General features: G+C 38.8%; 3 annotated features.

The window, feature by feature from the left end:
• Window positions 6,031-6,602: an enhancer, noted in NCBI's record as "NANOG-H3K27ac-H3K4me1 hESC enhancer chr4:27382529-27383100 (GRCh37/hg19 assembly coordinates)". NCBI's record gives its function as "activates a minimal SCP1, AML or CMV promoter by ChIP-STARR-seq in primed H9 embryonic stem cells {active_cell/tissue: H9 hESC(primed)}" and the evidence as "EXISTENCE:reporter gene assay evidence [ECO:0000049][PMID:30033119]".
• Window positions 6,031-7,569: a biological region, named in NCBI's record as "P300/CBP strongly-dependent group 1 enhancer GRCh37_chr4:27382868-27384067".
• Window positions 6,370-7,569: an enhancer, noted in NCBI's record as "P300/CBP strongly-dependent group 1 enhancer chr4:27382868-27384067 (GRCh37/hg19 assembly coordinates)". NCBI's record gives its function as "activates an origin of replication core promoter dependent on BRD2, BRD4, P300/CBP, MED14 and CDK7 cofactors, with strong dependence on P300/CBP, by STARR-seq in HCT116 cells {active_cell/tissue: HCT116}" and the evidence as "EXISTENCE:reporter gene assay evidence [ECO:0000049][PMID:35650434]".

A 19,710-nucleotide genomic window follows, 5' to 3' on the forward strand; every position in this document is an offset into this window, starting at 1 on the left:
CCCTTGAGGAGCTAAATTTTTTTTGTAAAAATCAATTAAAGAGTATTTGTTTGTAATATACAGTTTACTAAACACTTATATCCACTAATTTTCTGATGTGTGTATAAAAATTGGGTCATCACTTTTATGAACCATAGGCAAGACAATACATTGAACTGTACTTTCTTCCAAATGCCTGAGGTTTGAAGATAGAAGGTGTTCGATAGATGGCTACAGAATTGAATTTCTGCACTACTTCTCTGGCAGGAAAGACATGTTGGCGGCTGCTGAAATCATGGAACTATGCCTTTCCTGCACTGTCATTATTCTAAGGATGTAGTCAGCTGGGTTTAGAGAGCTGGATTCTTGAAACATGAAAAACCATGGCTGCCAAAATTTGAGGGGCAAGTAATACCAGGGTCCATTAAGCCAGTGTGAGTCAAGGAAAGAGTTGGTTTTCCATCATGCAACAATGTGGCCCTGAACATAGAACATTTCTCTCTTTGCAAGACCCACTGTCATAGAGACATCTGGGCAACCTCCTTTAGAACACGGAGACACTTCAAATCAGTTTCATGACTGTGAAATAAGAAGCAGGTCTGGCAGGAGAATACTCCCAGATGGATTAGTATTTAGGATATTTAAGTTGAAATGAAAGAAGAGCATTCTATACATGTAATTTAGGCTCAAAGATGACATTTTAAAGGTGTGGAAGAGCAAATGTTTAATTCTTGGGTTCCAATCCTGCCTCAGTGAACAGTTGGTTATAGATGTGAGTTTAAAGGTACATGCTATTGTTTGAAGACTGTTTTTTTGTTTTTTTTTTTTAATGTTTTTTTTTTTTTAGTTATACTTTAAGTTTTAGGGTACATGTGCACATTGTGCAGGTTAGTTACATATGTATACATGTGCCATGCTGGTGCGCTGCACCCACTAACGTGTCATCTAGCATTAGGTATATCTCCCAATGCTATCCCTCCCCCCTCCCCTGACCCCACCACAGTCCCCAGAGTGTGATATTCCCCTTCCTGTGTCCATGTGATCTCATTGTTCAATTCCCACCTATGAGTGAGAATATGCGGTGTTTGGTTTTTTGTTCTTGCGATAGTTTACTGAGAATGATGGTTTCCAATTTCATCCACGTCCCTACAAAGGACATGAACTCATCACTTTTTATGGCTGCATAGTATTCCATGGTGTACATGTGCCACATTTTCTTAATCCAGTCTATCATTGTTGGACATTTGGGTTGGTTCCAAGTCTTTGCTATTGTGAATAATGCCGCAATAAACATACATGTGCATGTGTCTTTATAGCAGCATGATTTATAGTCATTTGGGTATATACCCAGTAATGGGATGGCTGGGTCAAATGGTATTTCTAGTTCTAGATCCCTGAGGAATCGCCACACTGACTTCCACCATGGTTGAACTAGTTTACAGTCCCACCAACAGTGTAAAAGTCTTCCTATTTCTCCACATCCTCTCCAGCACCTGTTGTTTCCTGACTTTTTAATGATTGCCATTCTAACTGGTGTGAGATGATATCTCATAGTGGTTTTTATTTGCATTTCTCTGATTGCCAGTGATGATGAGCATTTTTTCATGTGTTTTTTGGCTGCATAAATGTCTTCTTTTGAGAAGTGTCTGTTCATGTCCTTCGCCCACTTTTTGATGGGGTTGTTTGTTTTTTTCTTGTAAATTTGTTTGAGTTCATTGTAGATTCTGGATATTAGCCCTTTGTCAGATGAGTAGGTTGTGAAAATTTTCTCCCATGTTGTAGGTTGCCTGTTCACTCTGATGGTAGTTTCTTTTGCTGTGCAGAAGCTCTTTAGTTTAATTAGATCCCATTTGTCAATTTTGGCTTTTGTTGCCATTGCTTTTGGTGTTTTGGACATGAAGTCCTTGCCCACGCCTATGTCCTGAATGGTAATGCCTAGGTTTTCTTCTAGGGTTTTTATGGTTTTAGGTCTAACGTTTAAATCTTTAATCCATCTTGAATTGATTTTTGTATAAGGTGTAAGGAAGGGATCCAGTTTCAGCTTTCTACATATGGCTAGCCAGTTTTCCCAGCACCATTTATTAAATAGGGAATCCTTTCCCCATTGCTTGTTTTTCTCAGGTTTGTGAAAGATCAGATAGTTGTAGATATGCGGCATTATTTCTGAGGGCTCTGTTCTGTTCCATTGATCTATATCTCTGTTTTGGTACCAGTACCATGCTGTTTTGGTTACTGTAGCCTTGTAGTATAGTTTGAAGTCAGGTAGTGTGATGCCTCCAGCTTTGTTCTTTTGGCTTAGGATTGACTTGGCGATGCGGGCTCTTTTTTGGTTCCATATGAACTTTAAAGTAGTTTTTTCCAATTCTGTGAAGAAAGTCATTGGTAGCTTGATGGGGATGGCATTGAATCTGTAAATTACCTTGGGCAGTATGGCCATTTTCACGATATTGATTCTTCCTACCCATGAGCATGGAATGTTCTTCCATTTGTTTGTGTCCTCTTTTATTTCCTTGAGCAGTGGTTTGTAGTTCTCCTTGAAGAGGTCCTTCACATCCCTTGTAAGTTGGATTCCTAGGTATTTTATTCTCTTTGAAGCAATTGTGAATGGGAGTTCACTCATGATTTGGCTCTCTGTTTGTCTGTTGTTGGTGTATAAGAATGCTTGTGATTTTTGTACATTGATTTTGTATCCTGAGACTTTGCTGAAGTTGCTTATCAGCTTAAGGAGATTTTGGGCTGAGACGATGGGGTTTTCTAGATAAACAATCATGTCGTCTGCAAACAGGGACAATTTGACTTCCTCTTTTCCTAATTGAATACCCTTTATTTCCTTCTCCTGCCTGATTGCCCTGGCCAGAACTTCCAACACTATGTTGAATAGGAGCGGTGAGAGAGGGCATCCCTGTCTTGTGCCAGTTTTCAAAGGGAATGCTTCCAGTTTTTGCCCATTCAGTATGATATTGGCTGTGGGTTTGTCATAGATAGCTCTTATTATTTTGAGATACGTCCCATCAATACCTAATTTATTGAGAGTTTTTAGCATGAAGGTTGTTGAATTTTGTCAAAGGCCTTTTCTGCATCTATTGAGATAATCATGTGGTTTTGGTCTTTGGCTCTGTTTATATGCTGGATTACATTTATTGATTTGCGTATATTGAACCAGCCTTGCATCCCAGGGATGAAGCCCACTTGATCATGGTGGATAAGCTTTTTGATGTGCTGCTGGATTCGGTTTGCCAGTATTTTATTGAGGATTTTTGCATCAATGTTCATCAAGGATATTGGTCTAAAATTCTCTTTTTTGGTTGTGTCTCTGCCCGGCTTTGGTATCAGAATGATGCTGGCCTCATAAAATGAGTTAGGGAGGATTCCCTCTTTTTCTATTGATTGGAATAGTTTCAGAAGGAATGGTACCAGTTCCTCCTTGTACCTCTGGTAGAATTCGGCTGTGAATCCATCTGGTCCTGGACTCTTTTTGGTTGGTAAACTATTGATTATTGCCACAATTTCAGAGCCTGTTATTGGTCTATTCAGAGATTCAACTTCTTCCTGGTTTAGTCTTGGGAGAGTGTATGTGTCGAGGAATGTATCCATTTCTTCTAGATTTTCTAGTTTATTTGCATAGAGGTGTTTGTAGTATTCTCTGATGGTAGTTTGTATTTCTGTGGGATCAGTGGTGATATCCCCTTTATCATTTTTTATTGTATCTATTTGATTCTTCTCTCTTTTTTTCTTTATTAGTCTTGCTAGCGGTCTATCAATTTTGTTGATCCTTTCAAAAAACCAGCTCCTGGATTCATTGATTTTTTGAAGGGTTTTTTGTGTCTCTATTTCCTTCAGTTCTGCTCTGATTTTAGTTATTTCTTGCCTTCTGCTAGCTTTTGAATGTGTTTGCTCTTGCTTTTCTAGTTCTTTTAATTGTGATGTTAGGTTGTCAATTTTGGATCTTTCCTGCTTGTTCTTGTAGGCATTTAGTGCTATAAATTTCCCTCTACACACTGCTTTGAATGCGTCCCAGAGATTCTGGTATGTGGTGTCTTTGTTCTCATTGGTTTCAAAGAACATCTTTATTTCTGCCTTCATTTCGTTATGTACCCAGTAGTCATTCAGGAGCAAGTTGTTCAGTTTCCATGTAGTTGAGCGGCTTTGAGTGAGATTCTTAATCCTGAGTTCTAGTTTGATTGCACTGTGGTCTGAGAGATAGTTTGTTATAATCTCTGTTCTTTTACATTTGCTGAGGAGAGCTTTACTTCCAACTATGTGGTCAATTTTGGAATAGGTGTGGTGTGGTGCTGAAAAAAATGTATATTCTGTTGATTTGGGGTGGAGAGTTCTGTAGATGTCTATTAGGTCTGCTTGGTGCAGAGCTGAGTTCAATTCCTGGGTATCCTTGTTGACTTTCTGTCTCGTTGATCTGTCTGATGTTGACAGTGGGGTGTTAAAGTCTCCCATTATTAATGTGTGGGAGTCTAAGTCTCTTTGTAGGTCACTCAGGACTTGCTTTATGAATCTGGGTGCTCCTGTATTGGGTGCATAAATATTTAGGATAGTTAGCTCCTCTTGTTGAATTGATCCCTTTACCATTATGTAATGGCCTTCTTTGTCTCTTTTGATCTTTGTTGGTTTAAAGTCTGTTTTATCAGAGACTAGGATTGCAACCCCTGCCTTTTTTTGTTTTCCATTGGCTTGGTAGATCTTCCTCCATCCTTTTATTTTGAGCCTATGTGTGTCTCTGCACGTGAGATGGGTTTCCTGAATACAGCACACTGATGGGTCTTGACTCTTTATCCAACTTGCCAGTCTGTGTCTTTTAATTGAAGAATTTAGTCCATTTATATTTAAAGTTAATATTGTTATGTGTGAATTTGATCCTGTCATTATGATGTTAGCTGGTGATTTTGCTCGTTAGTTGATGCAGTTTCTTCCTAGTCTCGATGGTCTTTACATTTTGGCATGATTTTGCAGCGGCTGGTACCAGTTGTTCCTTTCCATGTTTAGCACTTCCTTCAGGAGCTCTTTTAGGGCAGGCCTGGTGGTGACAAAATCTCTCAGCATTTGCTTGTCTATAAAGTATTTTATTTCTCCTTCACTTATGAAGCTTAGTTTGGCTGGATATGAAATTCTGGGTTGAAAATTCTTTTCTTTAAGAATGTTGAATATTGGCCCCCACTCTCTTCTGGCTTGTAGGGTTTCTGCCGAGAGATCCGCTGTTAGTCTGAAGGGCTTTCCTTTGAGGGTAACCCGACCTTTCTCTCTGGCTGCCCTTAACATTTTTTCCTTCATTTCAACTTTGGTGAATCTGACAATTATGTGTCTTGGAGTTGCTCTTCTCGAGGAGTATCTTTGTGGCGTTCTCTGTATTTCCTGAATCTGAACGTTGGCCTGCCTTGCTAGATTGGGGAAGTTCTCCTGGATAATATCCTGCAGAGTGTTTTCCAACTTGGTTCCATTCTCCACATCACTTTCAGGTACACCAATCAGACGTAGATTTGGTCTTTTCACATAGTCCCATATTTCTTGGAGGCTTTGCTCATTTCTTTTTATTCTTTTTTCTCTAAACTTCCCTTCTCGCTTCATTTCATTCATTTCATCTTCCATTGCTGATACCCTTTCTTCCAGTTGATCGCATCGGCTCCTGAGGCTTCTGCATTCTTCACATAGTTCTCGAGCCTTGGTTTTCAGCTCCATCAGCTCCTTTAAGCACTTCTCTGTATTGGTTATTCTAGTTATACATTCTTCTAAATTTTTTTCAAAGTTTTCAACTTCTTTGCCTTTGGTTTGAATGTCCTCCCGTAGCTCAGAGTAATTTGATCGTCTGAAGCCTTCTTCTCTCAGCTCGTCAAAATCATTCTCCATCCAGCTTTGTTCCGTTGCTGGTGAGGAACTGCGTTCCTTTGGAGGAGGAGAGGTGCTCTGCGTTTTAGAGTTTCCAGTTTTTCTGTTCTGTTTTTTCCCCATCTTTGTGGTTTTATCTACTTTTGGTCTTTGATGATGGTGATGTACAGATGGGTTTTCGGTGTAGATGTCCTTTCTGGTTGTTAGTTTTCCTTCTAACAGACAGGACCCTCAGCTGCAGGTCTGTTGGAATACACTGCCGTGTGAGGTGTCAGTGTGCCCCTGCTGGGGGGTGCCTCCCAGTTAGGCTGCTCGGGGGTCAGGGGTCAGGGACCCACTTGAGGAGGCAGTCTGCCCGTTCTCAGATCTCCAGCTGCGTGCTGGGAGAACCACTGCTCTCTTCAAAGCTGTCAGACAGGGACACTTAAGTCTGCAGAGGTTACTGCTGTCTTTTTGTTTGTCTGTGCCCTGCCCCCAGAGGTGGAGCCTACAGAGGCAGGCAGGCCTCCTTGAGCTATGGTGGGCTCCACCCAGTTCAAGCTTCCCGGCTGCTTTGTCTACCTAAGCAAGCCTGGGCAATGGCGGGCGCCCCTCCCCCAGCCTCGTTGCCGCCTTGCAGTTTGATCTCAGACTGCTGTGCTAGAAATCAGCGAGATTCCGTGGGCGTAGGACCCTCTGAGCCAGGTGTGGGATATAGTCTCGTGGTGCGCCGTTTTTTAAGCCGGTCTGAAAAGCGCAATATTCGGGTGGGAGTGACCCGATTTTCCAGGTGCGTCCGTCACCCCTTTCTTTGACTCGGAAAGGGAACTCCCTGACCCCTTGCGCTTCCCAGGTGAGGCAATGCCTCGCCCTGCTTCGGCTCGCGCACGGTGCGCGCACACACTGGCCTGCGCCCACTGTCTGGCACTCCCTAGTGAGATGAACCCGGTACCTCAGATGGAAATGCAGAAATCACCCGTCTTCTGCGTCGCTCACGCTGGGAGCTGTAGACCGGAGCTGTTCCTATTCGGCCATCTTGGCTCCTCCCCCGAAGACTGTTTTACCAATTGTAAAATAAAAATATTTATTACATGGTTTTTGATGCCCTGTCAAATTGTGGTTTGGTAAAAAGAGAGATGGTCTGAACACAATAACGGGTTTGAAGCACAGCCTGAAGCAATGAAAGAATACTCTTACTCACTCTTCGCTTTTATTCTCTCACTTTACCACCTGCGTGAGAAGGCAAGATACTTGCTTTCAGCTTCCTCTTCATACACAGGTGTGCAATGTTGAATCAGGAGGGTGGAAATGCATATTCACAGCAGGGGTGAGCACATGGAGTGGGTGTGTTAGCTGAGTGGCTTGGACTTCCAACAGAGAGACTGGCAGGAATGGTGGTGAATCAGCCTTCTGGAAATAGCCCCAGATCATCGAGGATCAGAAAGACCTCCCTTCCTCTTTCACAAAATGTGAAAAGGGTGTGACCAAAATATATTTCAGAAGCTAAAAACAAATCAAAACAAAATAAAAAACAAGCTTTCTTACTAGCAGCAAGGGAGCAGAATAGATATCAAGGTTTAGAATTGAAAGACAAAATTGAAGATCTGTTCTCACTGAATTACTTAGGCAAATTGAGATTTTCGTGCTCTCCATTTTCTTTTTCTTTTTTTTTTTTTTGTTCATCAACATTTATTTTAAGTTCTGGGGTACATGTGCAGGATGTGCAGGATTACTACGTTGGTAAATGCGTGACATGGTGGTTTGCTGGATAGATCAACCCACGACCCAGGTATTAAGCCCAGCATGCATTAGCTATTCTTCCTGATGCTCTCCCTCTGCCTGCCCCACCTGACAGGCCCCAGTGTGTGTTGTTTCCCCCCATGCATCCATGTGTTCTCATTATTCAGCTCCCACTTATAAGTGAGAACATGTGGTGTTTGATTTTCTGTTCCTGCATTAGTTTTCTCAGGGTAATAGCTTCCAACTCCATCCATGTCCCTGCAAATGACATGATCTCATTTCTTTTTATGGCTGCATAGTATTCCATGGTGTATATGCACCATATTTTCTTTATCTAGTGTATCATTGATGTGCATTTGGGTTTATTCCATGTCTTTGCTATTGTGAGTAGTGCTGCAATGAACATACATATGGGTGTATCTTTGCAATAGAATGATTTACATTCCTTTGGGTATGTATTCAAGGCTTAGAATTGAAAGACAGAATTGAAAGCAATGGGATTGCTGCATCAAATGGTATTTTGACTTCTAGATCTTTGAGGAATCGCCACACAGTCTTCCACAATGGTTGAACTAATTTACATTCCCACCAACAGTGTAAAATCATACCATTTTCTCCACACCCTCGCCAGCATCTGTTGTCTTGCTTGATGAAGTGCCTGATCTGGTCCAGTTTGGTTTGAAAGGAGTACCTAAATGTTTGGGTGACTGGAACGGTGTTTTGTCCATGTCCATAATAAATTCTACTCCTGAACTCAAGTTCTCAAACAACTGTTAAAAATCAGTAAAAGGCTTGAATAGACATTTGTTTAAATAAGATATACAAATATGAAAGATGCTCAACACTACTAACTGCTAGGGAAATATAAATCAAAACCACAATGAGACACCACCTCACACCTGTTAAGATGGCTATTAGTTTCACAAACCAAAAAATATAAAAAGAAAACACAAAAGACAAATATTGGCAAGAATGTGGAATATTTGCATCCCTCATACACTTGGCGGGAATATAAAAGGTGCAGCTGCTATGGGCAACAGTATGGAGGTTCCTCAAAAAATTAAAAATCGAATTACTACATGATCTAGCAATCCCACTTCTGGGTATTTATCCAAATGAATTGAAATGAAGATCTCACCTATGTTCACTGCTGTGTTATTTACAACAGCCAAAATCTGGAAACAATCTAAATGTTCATTGCATGATGAATAGATAACAAAAATGTGGTATACACATATGTTGAAATATTATTTAGTCTTAAAAGAGAGGAAAATCCTGCTATATGTGACAACATGGATGAACCTTGAGGACATTAAGTGAAATAAGCTAGTCACAGAAGAGCAGGCACTGCACGATTCCATTTTTTATGAAGTACCTGAAATAGTCAAGCTAATGGAAACACAGTGGAATGGTGGCTATGAGGGGTTGGTGGTAGGATGAAATGGGAAATTGCTGTTGAAAGGGTGTATAGTTTTAGTTATGTAAAGTGTTTAAGTTCTAGAGATCTGCTGCACAACGTGGTGTCTGTAGTTAACGATACTGTATTGCACACTTAAAATTTTGTCGGCTGGGCGTGGTGGCTCATGCTTGTAATCCCAGCACTTTGGGAGGCCGAGGTGGGCAGATCACGAATTCGGGAGATTGAGACCATCCTGACTAACACGGTGAAACCCTGTCTCTATTAAAAATACAAAAAAAAAAAAAAAAAAAAATTAGCCGGGCGTGGTGGCAGGCGCCTGTAGTCCCACCTACTCGGGAGGCTGAGGCAGGAGAATGGCGTGAACCCGGGAGGCAGAGCTTGCAGTGAGCCGAGATCGCACCACTGCACTCCAGCCTGGGCGACAGAGCGAGACTCCGTCTCAAAAAAAAAAAAAATTGTCAAGAGGTAGATCTCATGTTAAGTGTTCTCACCACAATGTCATTAAAAAAAGGACCTTTTTGAAAGGATGATTCCCAGGTGATTTTAAAAGGATGTTTCCTTTGGGAAAACAAGTGAGGCAGAGCAGAATAAAATGAGAAGAGCTGTGAGTAGGCAGCTTGAGAGAGGACACAGGTAAAGAGGTGGAAACCATTATTATTAGAAGAAGATAACATTTTTCTTCTATAGTTTTTAATTCAACAAAAGAAACCCGATGAGTGACTTTCTTCTTTTGTTGGTGCAGAATGGAAACAGGAAAAAAGAGACTCAAAGTGGTGATAATATTGCCTTTCAAAAGGAAGCCTAGCCAAGGCTTTGCTCCAGGTGTGTGCTTTCTCTGCTAATTTAAATGATCTGTGTCAGGGTCCTCTTATTGGAGCAGATAATTGAGAGCTAAGTGGATTCATGAGATCTTGATGTTAAGCTGCGTCAATTCTACAACCATATCTTTGATAGGAAAAGGAGTAAAAAGACCCTTGATAAACAAAATGATGTGATTTAATAATGTTCTTGGAGTGAGTACTGCATTTTCTCTGGTCAACCTTTGTCCTTGACATAGGTGCTTTTGACTTTCATGGCTACATAAAGTCCTCATTTACTGAAAAGTTTGGGTGTATTGGAAGGTATTACTAGGGAGTCACTGCTCTTCTCTAAGACAACTCAGCCATTCTAGCCTTACAGATAAGAATAGTTTCTATCATTCAATGGCCCCCTCTTCCCCATCCCTGTGGTCTCTCAAGCAGAGAAAGAATTGAATTCTATCTGCCAATTGAAAAAGGTGTTACTCACTGTAACCCAAAGCACTAAGGTTACTTATGTTTCCAACACCAGTTAAAAGCTTCAAGAACAGCAGAGAATGATTATTATTGTGTTTCTCTCTGCTTGGGCTGAAGATAATGAGCCCTTTCCTGCTGCCCTTTCCCATGCATAATGCCGATTGATGTCAACGAGAGGCTCATGGTGTGCAGGGGCCGTTAGATCACATGTATCATCTTGAAAATAATAAGGACAAAGGGACGCCCTTTTTTTCTTAAACTTGGCAAAGAGAGTCTCTATGGTTCCAACCCTCTCTAGATGGTCCCAATTAAGAAGAAATAATTTTCCTAGAGTAGAGTGGCTGCCACTGTTTCAAGGTGAGCTTTTCATGAAGAAAGCAGAGAACAGTTCCCGAGACTGTTTCAGGTTCCCAAAATCACTTCTCCTAGGAGACATGATTAGGAGGTGTTAGCAGTCCCCTCAGAGATTGATCAAAAACATGTAACTTCTATATATTGGAAGGGAAATGAGGAAAGTTAAAAGAAGAAAGCAATAAGAAAACATTCTTTCTCAATTAGAGGAAGAGAAATGCTTTAGAAATTACTTAACTCCTATGGGCTTTGTATTCCCTCTTTTGTAATGAGGGTTTAGGTTCAAATTAGTATTTCCTAAACTTAGTTCATCATTAGTATAACTTGAGGAACTTGTTTAAAAAGAAAAAGGAGAGGTATATGGTTTTCTCCCTGAGAGATTCTGATTTAGCAGTTCTGCGGTGAGTCTAGGAATCTTCATTTTACACAGTTCTTTTCATAATCATGCATGTTTGGAAAATGTAGATTTCTAGTGTTCTGAACATGAGATTTCTCTGTTCTTTTAGTGTTATTCATGTGTTAACACTATGGACTGGCCCAGTCTAGCTAATGACTGGGCAGATGAAGAGAGGTCATGCCCTGGAGCCACGGCTAGTTACTCTCTCAGCTGGGCATTAGGAGGACAAGTTTCAAAGGATGAGAAAATGTCTAATCTGGCCAACAGGACATAATATGAAACATTATAGCCACAGGTAGAAGACACTGGTTCTAGCAAGGTAATGGAGCTTTCCAGAGAGTTAGGTAGAGAGGCCCTACACAAAATAACTCCTGGCTATCTCTGTTATCTCATCTGATGAATTTCCCCTATTCACTCTGCTTCAGCTATGCTACCCTCCTTGCTGTTCTTCCAAAATTCTAGGCATGCACCTGCTTTAAGGCCTTTGCAATGGTTAGTCCTTCTGCCCAGAATGCTCCTCCTACAGATAACCATCCCTAACTCTCTAACCTCTTTTTTTTTTTTTTTTTTTTTTGATGGAGTCTCACTCTGTCACCAGGCTGGAGTGCAGTGGTGCGATCTTGGCTCACTGCAACTTCCACTTCCCGGGTTCAAGCAATTCTCCTTCTCAGCCTCCTGAGTAGCTGGGACTGCAGGCATGTGCCACCACACCCAGCTAATTTTTGTATTTTTAGTAGAGATGCGGTTTCACCATGTTGGCCAGGATGGTTTCGATCTCTTGACCTTGTGATCCACCCTCCTTGGCCTCCTAAAGTGCTGGGATTACAGGCATGAGCCACCGTGCCCGGCCTCTAACTTCCTTTTTAACTCCATTCCAATATCACCTTTCTAAAAGGCCTACTTAGTATAACCTGCTGTGACTTCCTGCCTTGGGCACCCCAGATTCTCTTTACCTGGCTCTATGACTTCCTCGAACACTACATTGCAACATACTATATATAATTAGTTTATATTTTATTATTAATTATTTTGTGATGAATTTTTAATATATTTTTGTTGGTCATATTAGCTGTATGAAAGGAAGAATCTTTTTCAGTTTTATTCACTGATATATCCCAAGAGCCTTGTGAGGAATGCAGGTTTAGGAATAACTGTAGAAATGGAAATGGTGAGATTTCCTAGGAATTTTTTTTTTTCAGGATTCAAAAGGAAGCATTCAAGGGATAGAGTTTACTTGCAATTTCTCTCTTGGGTTTTAGAACTTTGGGGGAATCCAACGGTAGTGGCAGATAATTGTTTTCATAGGAAATTGGGACCCCAAGTGCTCCAGCTACAGGCTCTTGGAATTCCTTTCTGGATCTATCTATTTCTTTACAACCCATCCAAATGGAGTGGCTATGCCAAGTAAGTCCTGTCTAATTGTGTTGTCTTATCCTTCCAATATAGCTCCAAGGAAAAATAATGGCAACAGGCAACATTTATGGAGTACTCATTATGTCCTAAACACTTAATTAGTACTCACAATAATCCCATGAGATAGGTGCAAGTTATTCTTGTCCTTTTTTTGCAGACAAGGGAACTGAGGCACAGAGAGATTAAAGTCAAAGCACTTGCATAAGGTCACATAACTGGGAAGTAGCAGAGCTGTGATTTGAACCAGAGTCCATAATATTAATAGTAACCGTTGTGCTACATTTGCATCTCTTGGAGAAGTGGCTCTTATACTTGTTCATGAGGTAGTAAATACACTTGAGCATCACTTGAAAAATACTGTAACTATTGACATATTTGATTTTTATATAAATCAAGGAACATGGTTTCAAGCAACAGAAACCAAGTCTGGTTTAAAAACAGAAAAATAATTTACTAATATACAGAGTAGCTCCCACAATCTTCTGGACAGGTGGAGAATTAAGCTTGTAGGCTCTACAGACAGGCACAATGGTTGAGTTATGCCCTGGAACAAAAAGACCTGCTGGGCACTGCTGCTGAGTGCTGCTCTCGGGCATAAACATCCAAGCTGGCACTGCCAGTTCTCAGATATTGCACACTAGGCATTACAGACAGAACCATTGTTGCCCCAGCTGTCTCTGCAAGATGGATCTCTACAAGATGGTCACTCCTGGCACCTTCACCAGAAAGGATTCTGCATAGGCCTTGCTTCTTTGTATTTCTAGGAGTCTGGGATGTTGCATTTGAAGGTGAAGCTCAGGGCACATGCTTATATCCTGGTTTCAAAGGAAACTGAGAAAGTGAGAATTTAGCATTTTCAAATTCTATGGGTACACATTTGCCCTTCTTTTACCTTCTCAGTAAAAGAATCCCTTTCCTTCACCTTCTGAATTTGGGGTGCCAGAAGACAAAAGAAAGAGATTTTCTTACTAGATAGCTAAAAAGAATGATACATGGTTACCGAAATCTGTATATTAGCAGAAAGTATGACTACACTGTATATAATGTGATGGAAAATTATAACATCCAATAAACACGAGTGCAGATAGAGAACACCATCAAACTGTACACGATGAGATATTTTGTCAGGGAGCAACTGAGAGCTAGCAATTTTTCAGATTTGAGATTCTCCTACTCATAGATTTATTTTTCTTTTATCAATTAAGCAATGATAATCAAGATTTCATTTTCTCAGTTAATCACCTGGGTTTGGCTTTCAATTCTAGGAGGACAGGAGAAGACAAAGGGAAAGGGGAGAAGGAGTAAGTACCATTAAGATGGAGAGAAGCAGAAGGGAAGTAAGTCTTTCTAATGAGAAAGCTCATCAAAATAATTATCCTGTGGTCTCATAGGTTGCCTATATCTGAGTTCAATCTACAGATGAGTTGTACTTGGTTTGCATAAAGCGACATTAAAATAAATATGGATATTTATTATAAAAATCTGGATTTCTGTTTTTTTCTGGAAAAATCAGAACTGTCTTCCCTGGACATGCTTTGTGTAGGACTTCCCTACATGCTTACACGGGAACTGAGCAACACTAAAAGGTTGGGGCTGAGTAGCTTCTTCCCTGTTTGGACAGGACCACAGTCTCCACTCCTCCCCATTGTCTCCCCGTAACTGAGGTTGTATGTTAGCCACTACATATCATTATGCTTGTATAATTTTTTGTCTTATATCAGAGAAACATTTCTCTACTTATCTCTCTATCAAAATTTGAAAAATAAGTGTTAGATTTTAGACTAAGTGTGTGTTTTAAGGAAAATGAGAGAAAGCATATTTCTTTGTGCAGTTAAGAGTATTTCTCCATTCTTAACAGTGTATTAGTCAAAAATTCAAAGTAAGATGCCTAGGTGAAATAAACCTTAATGAGAATTATAAAAATTATGTGGAAGAGATGCATAATGAAAAGGGTAATGATTTTTTAAAAGTGGGGACGAAAATTTCAATATAAGTTTTTTTTTTAAGTGAAGAAAATAAGTAGATCAGCTTACACTAAGCAGTCCATCTCACTCACCAATGTTTCCTTTTCAGCCTCTGTAGGCAAATGAGTTTATTACTGGTCTTTTCAACTGGAGGCTTTTTAATCCCTGAGATATTTATCTAGATGGTTCTATCCCAGAGGAGAAGGGCAAGGAAGAAATTTTACTTTTTTTTTTTTACAATAATGATGCTTCTTTCTCCTCAAACTGCCACTGACCGGTTTTGTGTGTTGAATTGTGTCCCCTAAAAGATATGTTAAAGTCCTAACCCCCAGTACCAGTGAGTGTGATCTTATTTGAAAAACAAGGCCCTTGCAAATGTAATTAAAATGAGGTCACACTCAATTAGGGTGGACCCTGACCCAATAGGACTGATGTCTTTATAAGAAGAGAAGAGACACAGAGAAAGACATACGCTGCGTGATGAGACACAGGAGAGAACTCCATTCGAAGATGGAAACAGAAAATAGAGTAATGAATCTACAAGCCAAGGGGTGCCAAAGATTGCCAGCAACCTTCAGAAGCTAGGAGAGAAACATGGGACAGATTTTTTCCCAGAGCTTCTGGTAGGAACCAACTGCGCTGACTCCTTGATTTTGAACTTCTGGCCTCCACAACTGTGAGAGAATCAGTGTCCGCCGTTTCAAGCTACCCAGTTTCTGGCAATTTGTTATGGCAACCCTAGGAAACGAGTGCAGTCACCTTAAGAATGCATTTGGATGACTGCTCTTGGCTTAAAGCATCTTATTTATTCTTCTCAATTCTTCATTGTCAATAACATCAATTTATAGCCATAGGCATCATGCTTCCATGTCAAACTGTGATGCTTTTATCCTTCCTGAGAGCAATTTAGAATATTCCTTTTCTTATCCATACACTTTGTGTGGCTTAAAGCCACACAATTTGTGTCCCATGCACAGGATGAAATGTCTCAGCATTGAAAGGGAACTAACCACATTCTCTCTCTCCACCAGGTGCATACTTAAATGTTATGTGCTGTTTGCTAATTTGAAAGACCATTCAAACTTATCTTTCATGGGTATACTGTGATAAAGGCAGGCTCCAAATTGCTTGCTGACCCTTCTAAGCAGGTTTACTTCTCCATTGAAATAATCGTCCTCCGTCTAAAACTGTTGCTTAGGCTCCCACTGCGTTACCATTTCACTCCCTTGGAGGAGATAACACAGTAGGTTTAATCATCTGAAGTCAATTGACTGGAATTATTTCCTCAGTGACAGCTTTGTTGTCATTTTGTAACACATTCTTAGATGTGGATGAACTTGATAAAATAAACAGGGACATTTTCTCTGTCTAAGCGAGAAAAGAAATTAAGTATTGGAAAATGCAATTTTACTTTTTGTTTAATGTCAGACCTCTATCCAAGAGCCATCCCATTTGCCAAAGAAGAGACCTTTACTGAGATCTTAGCTTAAACTTGCCTTTATTTAACTTTCTAAACTTGAGGCTCAGTGAGAGACAACTAAGAAAGGATCTGAGCATCATAATTCATTAGGTAAACTTCATTCACCCCCATGGTGTCCCATAATTATTTCTTAAATTATTTTATTATGCTTATGCAACCTTAACCATGATTTAAGATATCTTAACATTTTCATGTTTTGCTTTATTTTCTGGGTATAAATTATTTAAATTGTCATAAACTGGGCTCCTTTGAAGTGGATTTGGCAACTGGGGGGCTGCCACACCAAGAGAGAACTTTTTGGCAAAACTTCCCTAGAAATTGAAGTCACTCCTGAGCAGATCTAAATCATGATTAATGATTTGTGATTGTCATTTGCTCCGCTGTTGCCATCCTGGCTGTTCACAGGGTATTATGAATGAGGAGTTCTACTGGGAATTTAGGACCAAATGCCTGCACATTTCTGTCTTTTCTTCCTTTATTTTTTGATGCAGTCGTTTCTTTGGTCAATTAATGCTCACATTTATTTATACCTTTAGTCAGTTAACTTTAATAATTTCAAAAGCATGTGTGAACCAGCCATGTGAAACAAGCTAAGACCTTGAAAATAATCTACATCCAACTATGTAGTTCACCCCCTTTATCTTTTCCTCCTGCTGAATACCCTCATTCTAAGGCTTGTGTTCATTCTTTTGCTTCCCCTTTTATTACATCTATAATCATGTATCAAAAATTATGTCTATCTTAATTATTATTAGCTTTTAAATTAAAATATACTGCTCCATATAATAGTTGGAGACTTAGAATTTTACTTAGTATTACATGACAAAGATTAATTTTATTTCTTGCTTGACAATGTAGTTAATTCATTTTCACTGCAATGTAATATTATATCATGTGAATGTGAATATGGCACATTTTGTTTATCCAGTCATCCAGTCTCCAATCTATGGGCAATTGTATTGTTTCCAGGTTTTTGCTATTGTGGATAGTACTGCTATGTATAATCTTGTCTTCTGTCATACTCCTGGATTCCTTTGTGTATATAATAGGAGTTGAATTGCTGAGCCATGAAATATGCAACTATTCAATATTAGACTATAAAGTTAAACCCTTTTTCAAATAGATTGTGCTTATTTATATTACTATCAGAAAAATGTTAAGCTCCTATGGATCCTCTCTGACAATTGGAATCTTCAGCTATCTTGAATTTAATGAATTGAAGTGATATAAAACGGTATCTCATTATGGTCTTAAGTTTCATATGTCATATAATGAACAGCTCTTTAATATGTTTATTGGCTGTATACTGTTTCCTAGTCTGTGAAGGATTCCATATTCCTTTTGTCCATTTTCTGTAATTTTATTTGATCTTGATATTAATTTATAGTGTGTTGTATCTTCTTGATATCGACTTTTTGGTCACCTGGGCTAGATAGCAGTGGTGTGATCATGGCTCACTGCAACCTCAACTTCCTAGGCTCAAGTGATCATCCCACCTCTGCCTCCCAAGCAACTGGGACTATAGGTGCGTGCCACCATGCCTTGATAATTTTTTAATTTTTTTGTAAAGATGGTGTCTTGCTATGTTGCCCTGGCTGGTCTTGAACTCCTGGACTCAAGTGATCTTCTCACTTTGGCTTCCCAAAGTGCTGGGATTACAAGTGTGAACCCACTGTACCTGGCCTTGGTATTGATCTTTGGTTTATTGCTGTATGTTGTAATGTATTATGCAAGTATGTAAACCCTGTTTTCACTATCTTTATTTTTTGATGAACAAAATTTATTAATTTTTATGTAGCCTCATTTATCAGTTTTTAATTTTTTATAGGAAACATTATAAAAAATCTTTCCATATCTCAAGGACTAAAACATAGTACTGTATTTTCTACTAAGAATGTAAAATGTTTACCTCTGTTATTTATGTCCTTAATTCACATGGAATAGATTTTGCATAATTGCATGAGGTAGGGATCTGATTTTATTTTTTATTTTTTCATATTGATAATCATTTTTATCCTACTTTACTTATTGAACAATCTATGATTTTCTCACTGATCTTACACAATATATCCATTATATCATAAATCCATCCATATATGGTCTATTTGTCTACTACGATGTCTTAATTACTATAGTTTTATAATCAATCTTGATGTGTAAAGGAAGAATCTTTCCTCTTTGTGCTTCTTCAGAGATGTCTTGTCTATACTTGGTCCTTTATTTGTCATACAAATCAGAACAACCTTTATAAAGTTCCATTAAAAAATTGTTCAGTTATTTGAAATTTCATTGTCTTTATAGACGAATCTTGGAGAATTGGCATTTTATAATATTATATCTTCTTGTCTACAAACACAGTTTATATTTCTTTTTATTTGGGTCATCTTTAAAAACTCTTCATAGGGTTTTATAATTTTTTCTGTAGAGATATTGAGCATCTTTTTTTGGATTTGTTCTTGTTCACTTGATATTTATTTGATACATTTATATAGTTATCTCTTTAATTGTGTTTTTTAGTCTTGTGCTGCTGGGGAATAGAAATGTATTTGACTTTTGCATGTTAAGCTTATAGTCATCCATCTCGCTGAGTGCTGACATTATTTCTAATAATTTTTCTGAACATTTTTCAGGGGGTGTGTCTGAATGATAATATCTCTAAACAATGATAGTTTGATGTCATCCTTACTAATTCTTGTGACTACTTCTTTTGTTCATTTAATCATTCCAGCAATACTGTCGATTAGAAGTTGTGATAAGTGTGCTCCGTTGTCTTGCTCTTTATTTTAAAGCTAATGCTTTAGAATACTGTATTTTTTTATAGGTACTCTTTATCAGGTCAAGGATGTTCCTTTTAATTTCTAGCTAACTTAGAGCTTATTATCATGAATGAATTTTTCATTTTATCAAATTTCTTCATTTAATGAGATGATTACATAATTTTCTCTTTTAGTCTGTTATTATGGAAAATTACATTAATGGATTTTATAATGTAAACTATTCTTATACTCCTGGAATAAACTCAATTTAATTATAATGTATTAAATATGCAATATAGGTTTTAATGTACTATTGGATTTAATTTTATTCCTTTTTTATATTTTAGAAATTTTGCTTTTATATTTATAAGTGAAGTAGACCTAAAACTATTTGTCTGATTTTGGTATCAGCATTATGTTGGGCTCATAGTTTGAACTGAGAACTTCTTTTTGTTTTTTTCTTTTTCTTGCCTATGAGGATAGGCACAGAAATTTATTAAAAGTTTGGTAGAACTTGCCTTTAAAAAAAAATCAACTTTCACTTTAGATTCAGGGGGTACATAAGCAGATTTGAAACATGGGCACATTTCTTAATGCTGAGGTTTGGGGTACAACTGATCCCATCACCCAGATGGTGAGCATAGAACCCAATAAGTAGTTTTTCAACCCTTGCCCCTCTCCCACCTGCCCTCATCCCTCTGGTATTCCCCAGTGTCTATCATTATTTTCTTTATGTCCATGTGTACACAATGTTTAGCTCCCACTTATAAATGAGAACATGTAGTATTTGGTTTTCCGTTTCTGCATTAATGTGTTTAGAATAATAGCCTCCAGCTACATTCATATTGCTGTAAAGGACATAATTTTGTTCTTTTTCATGCCTGTGTAGTACTCTATGGTGTATATGTACCACATTTTCTTTATTCCATCTACAATTGATGGACACCTGGGTTGATTCCATGTCTTCGCTATTGTGAATAGTGCTGTGATGAGTATACAAGTGCGTTTGTCTTTTTGACAGGCAAAGAATTTACAAGTCCTCAGAAGCAATTGCAACAAAAACAAAAAAGTTGACAAATGGGACCTAATTAAACCAAAAAGCTTCTGCACAGCAAAAGAAAC

This window comes from Homo sapiens, chromosome 4, assembly GCF_000001405.40.
Source record: "Homo sapiens chromosome 4, GRCh38.p14 Primary Assembly".
NCBI lineage: Eukaryota > Metazoa > Chordata > Mammalia > Primates > Hominidae > Homo > Homo sapiens.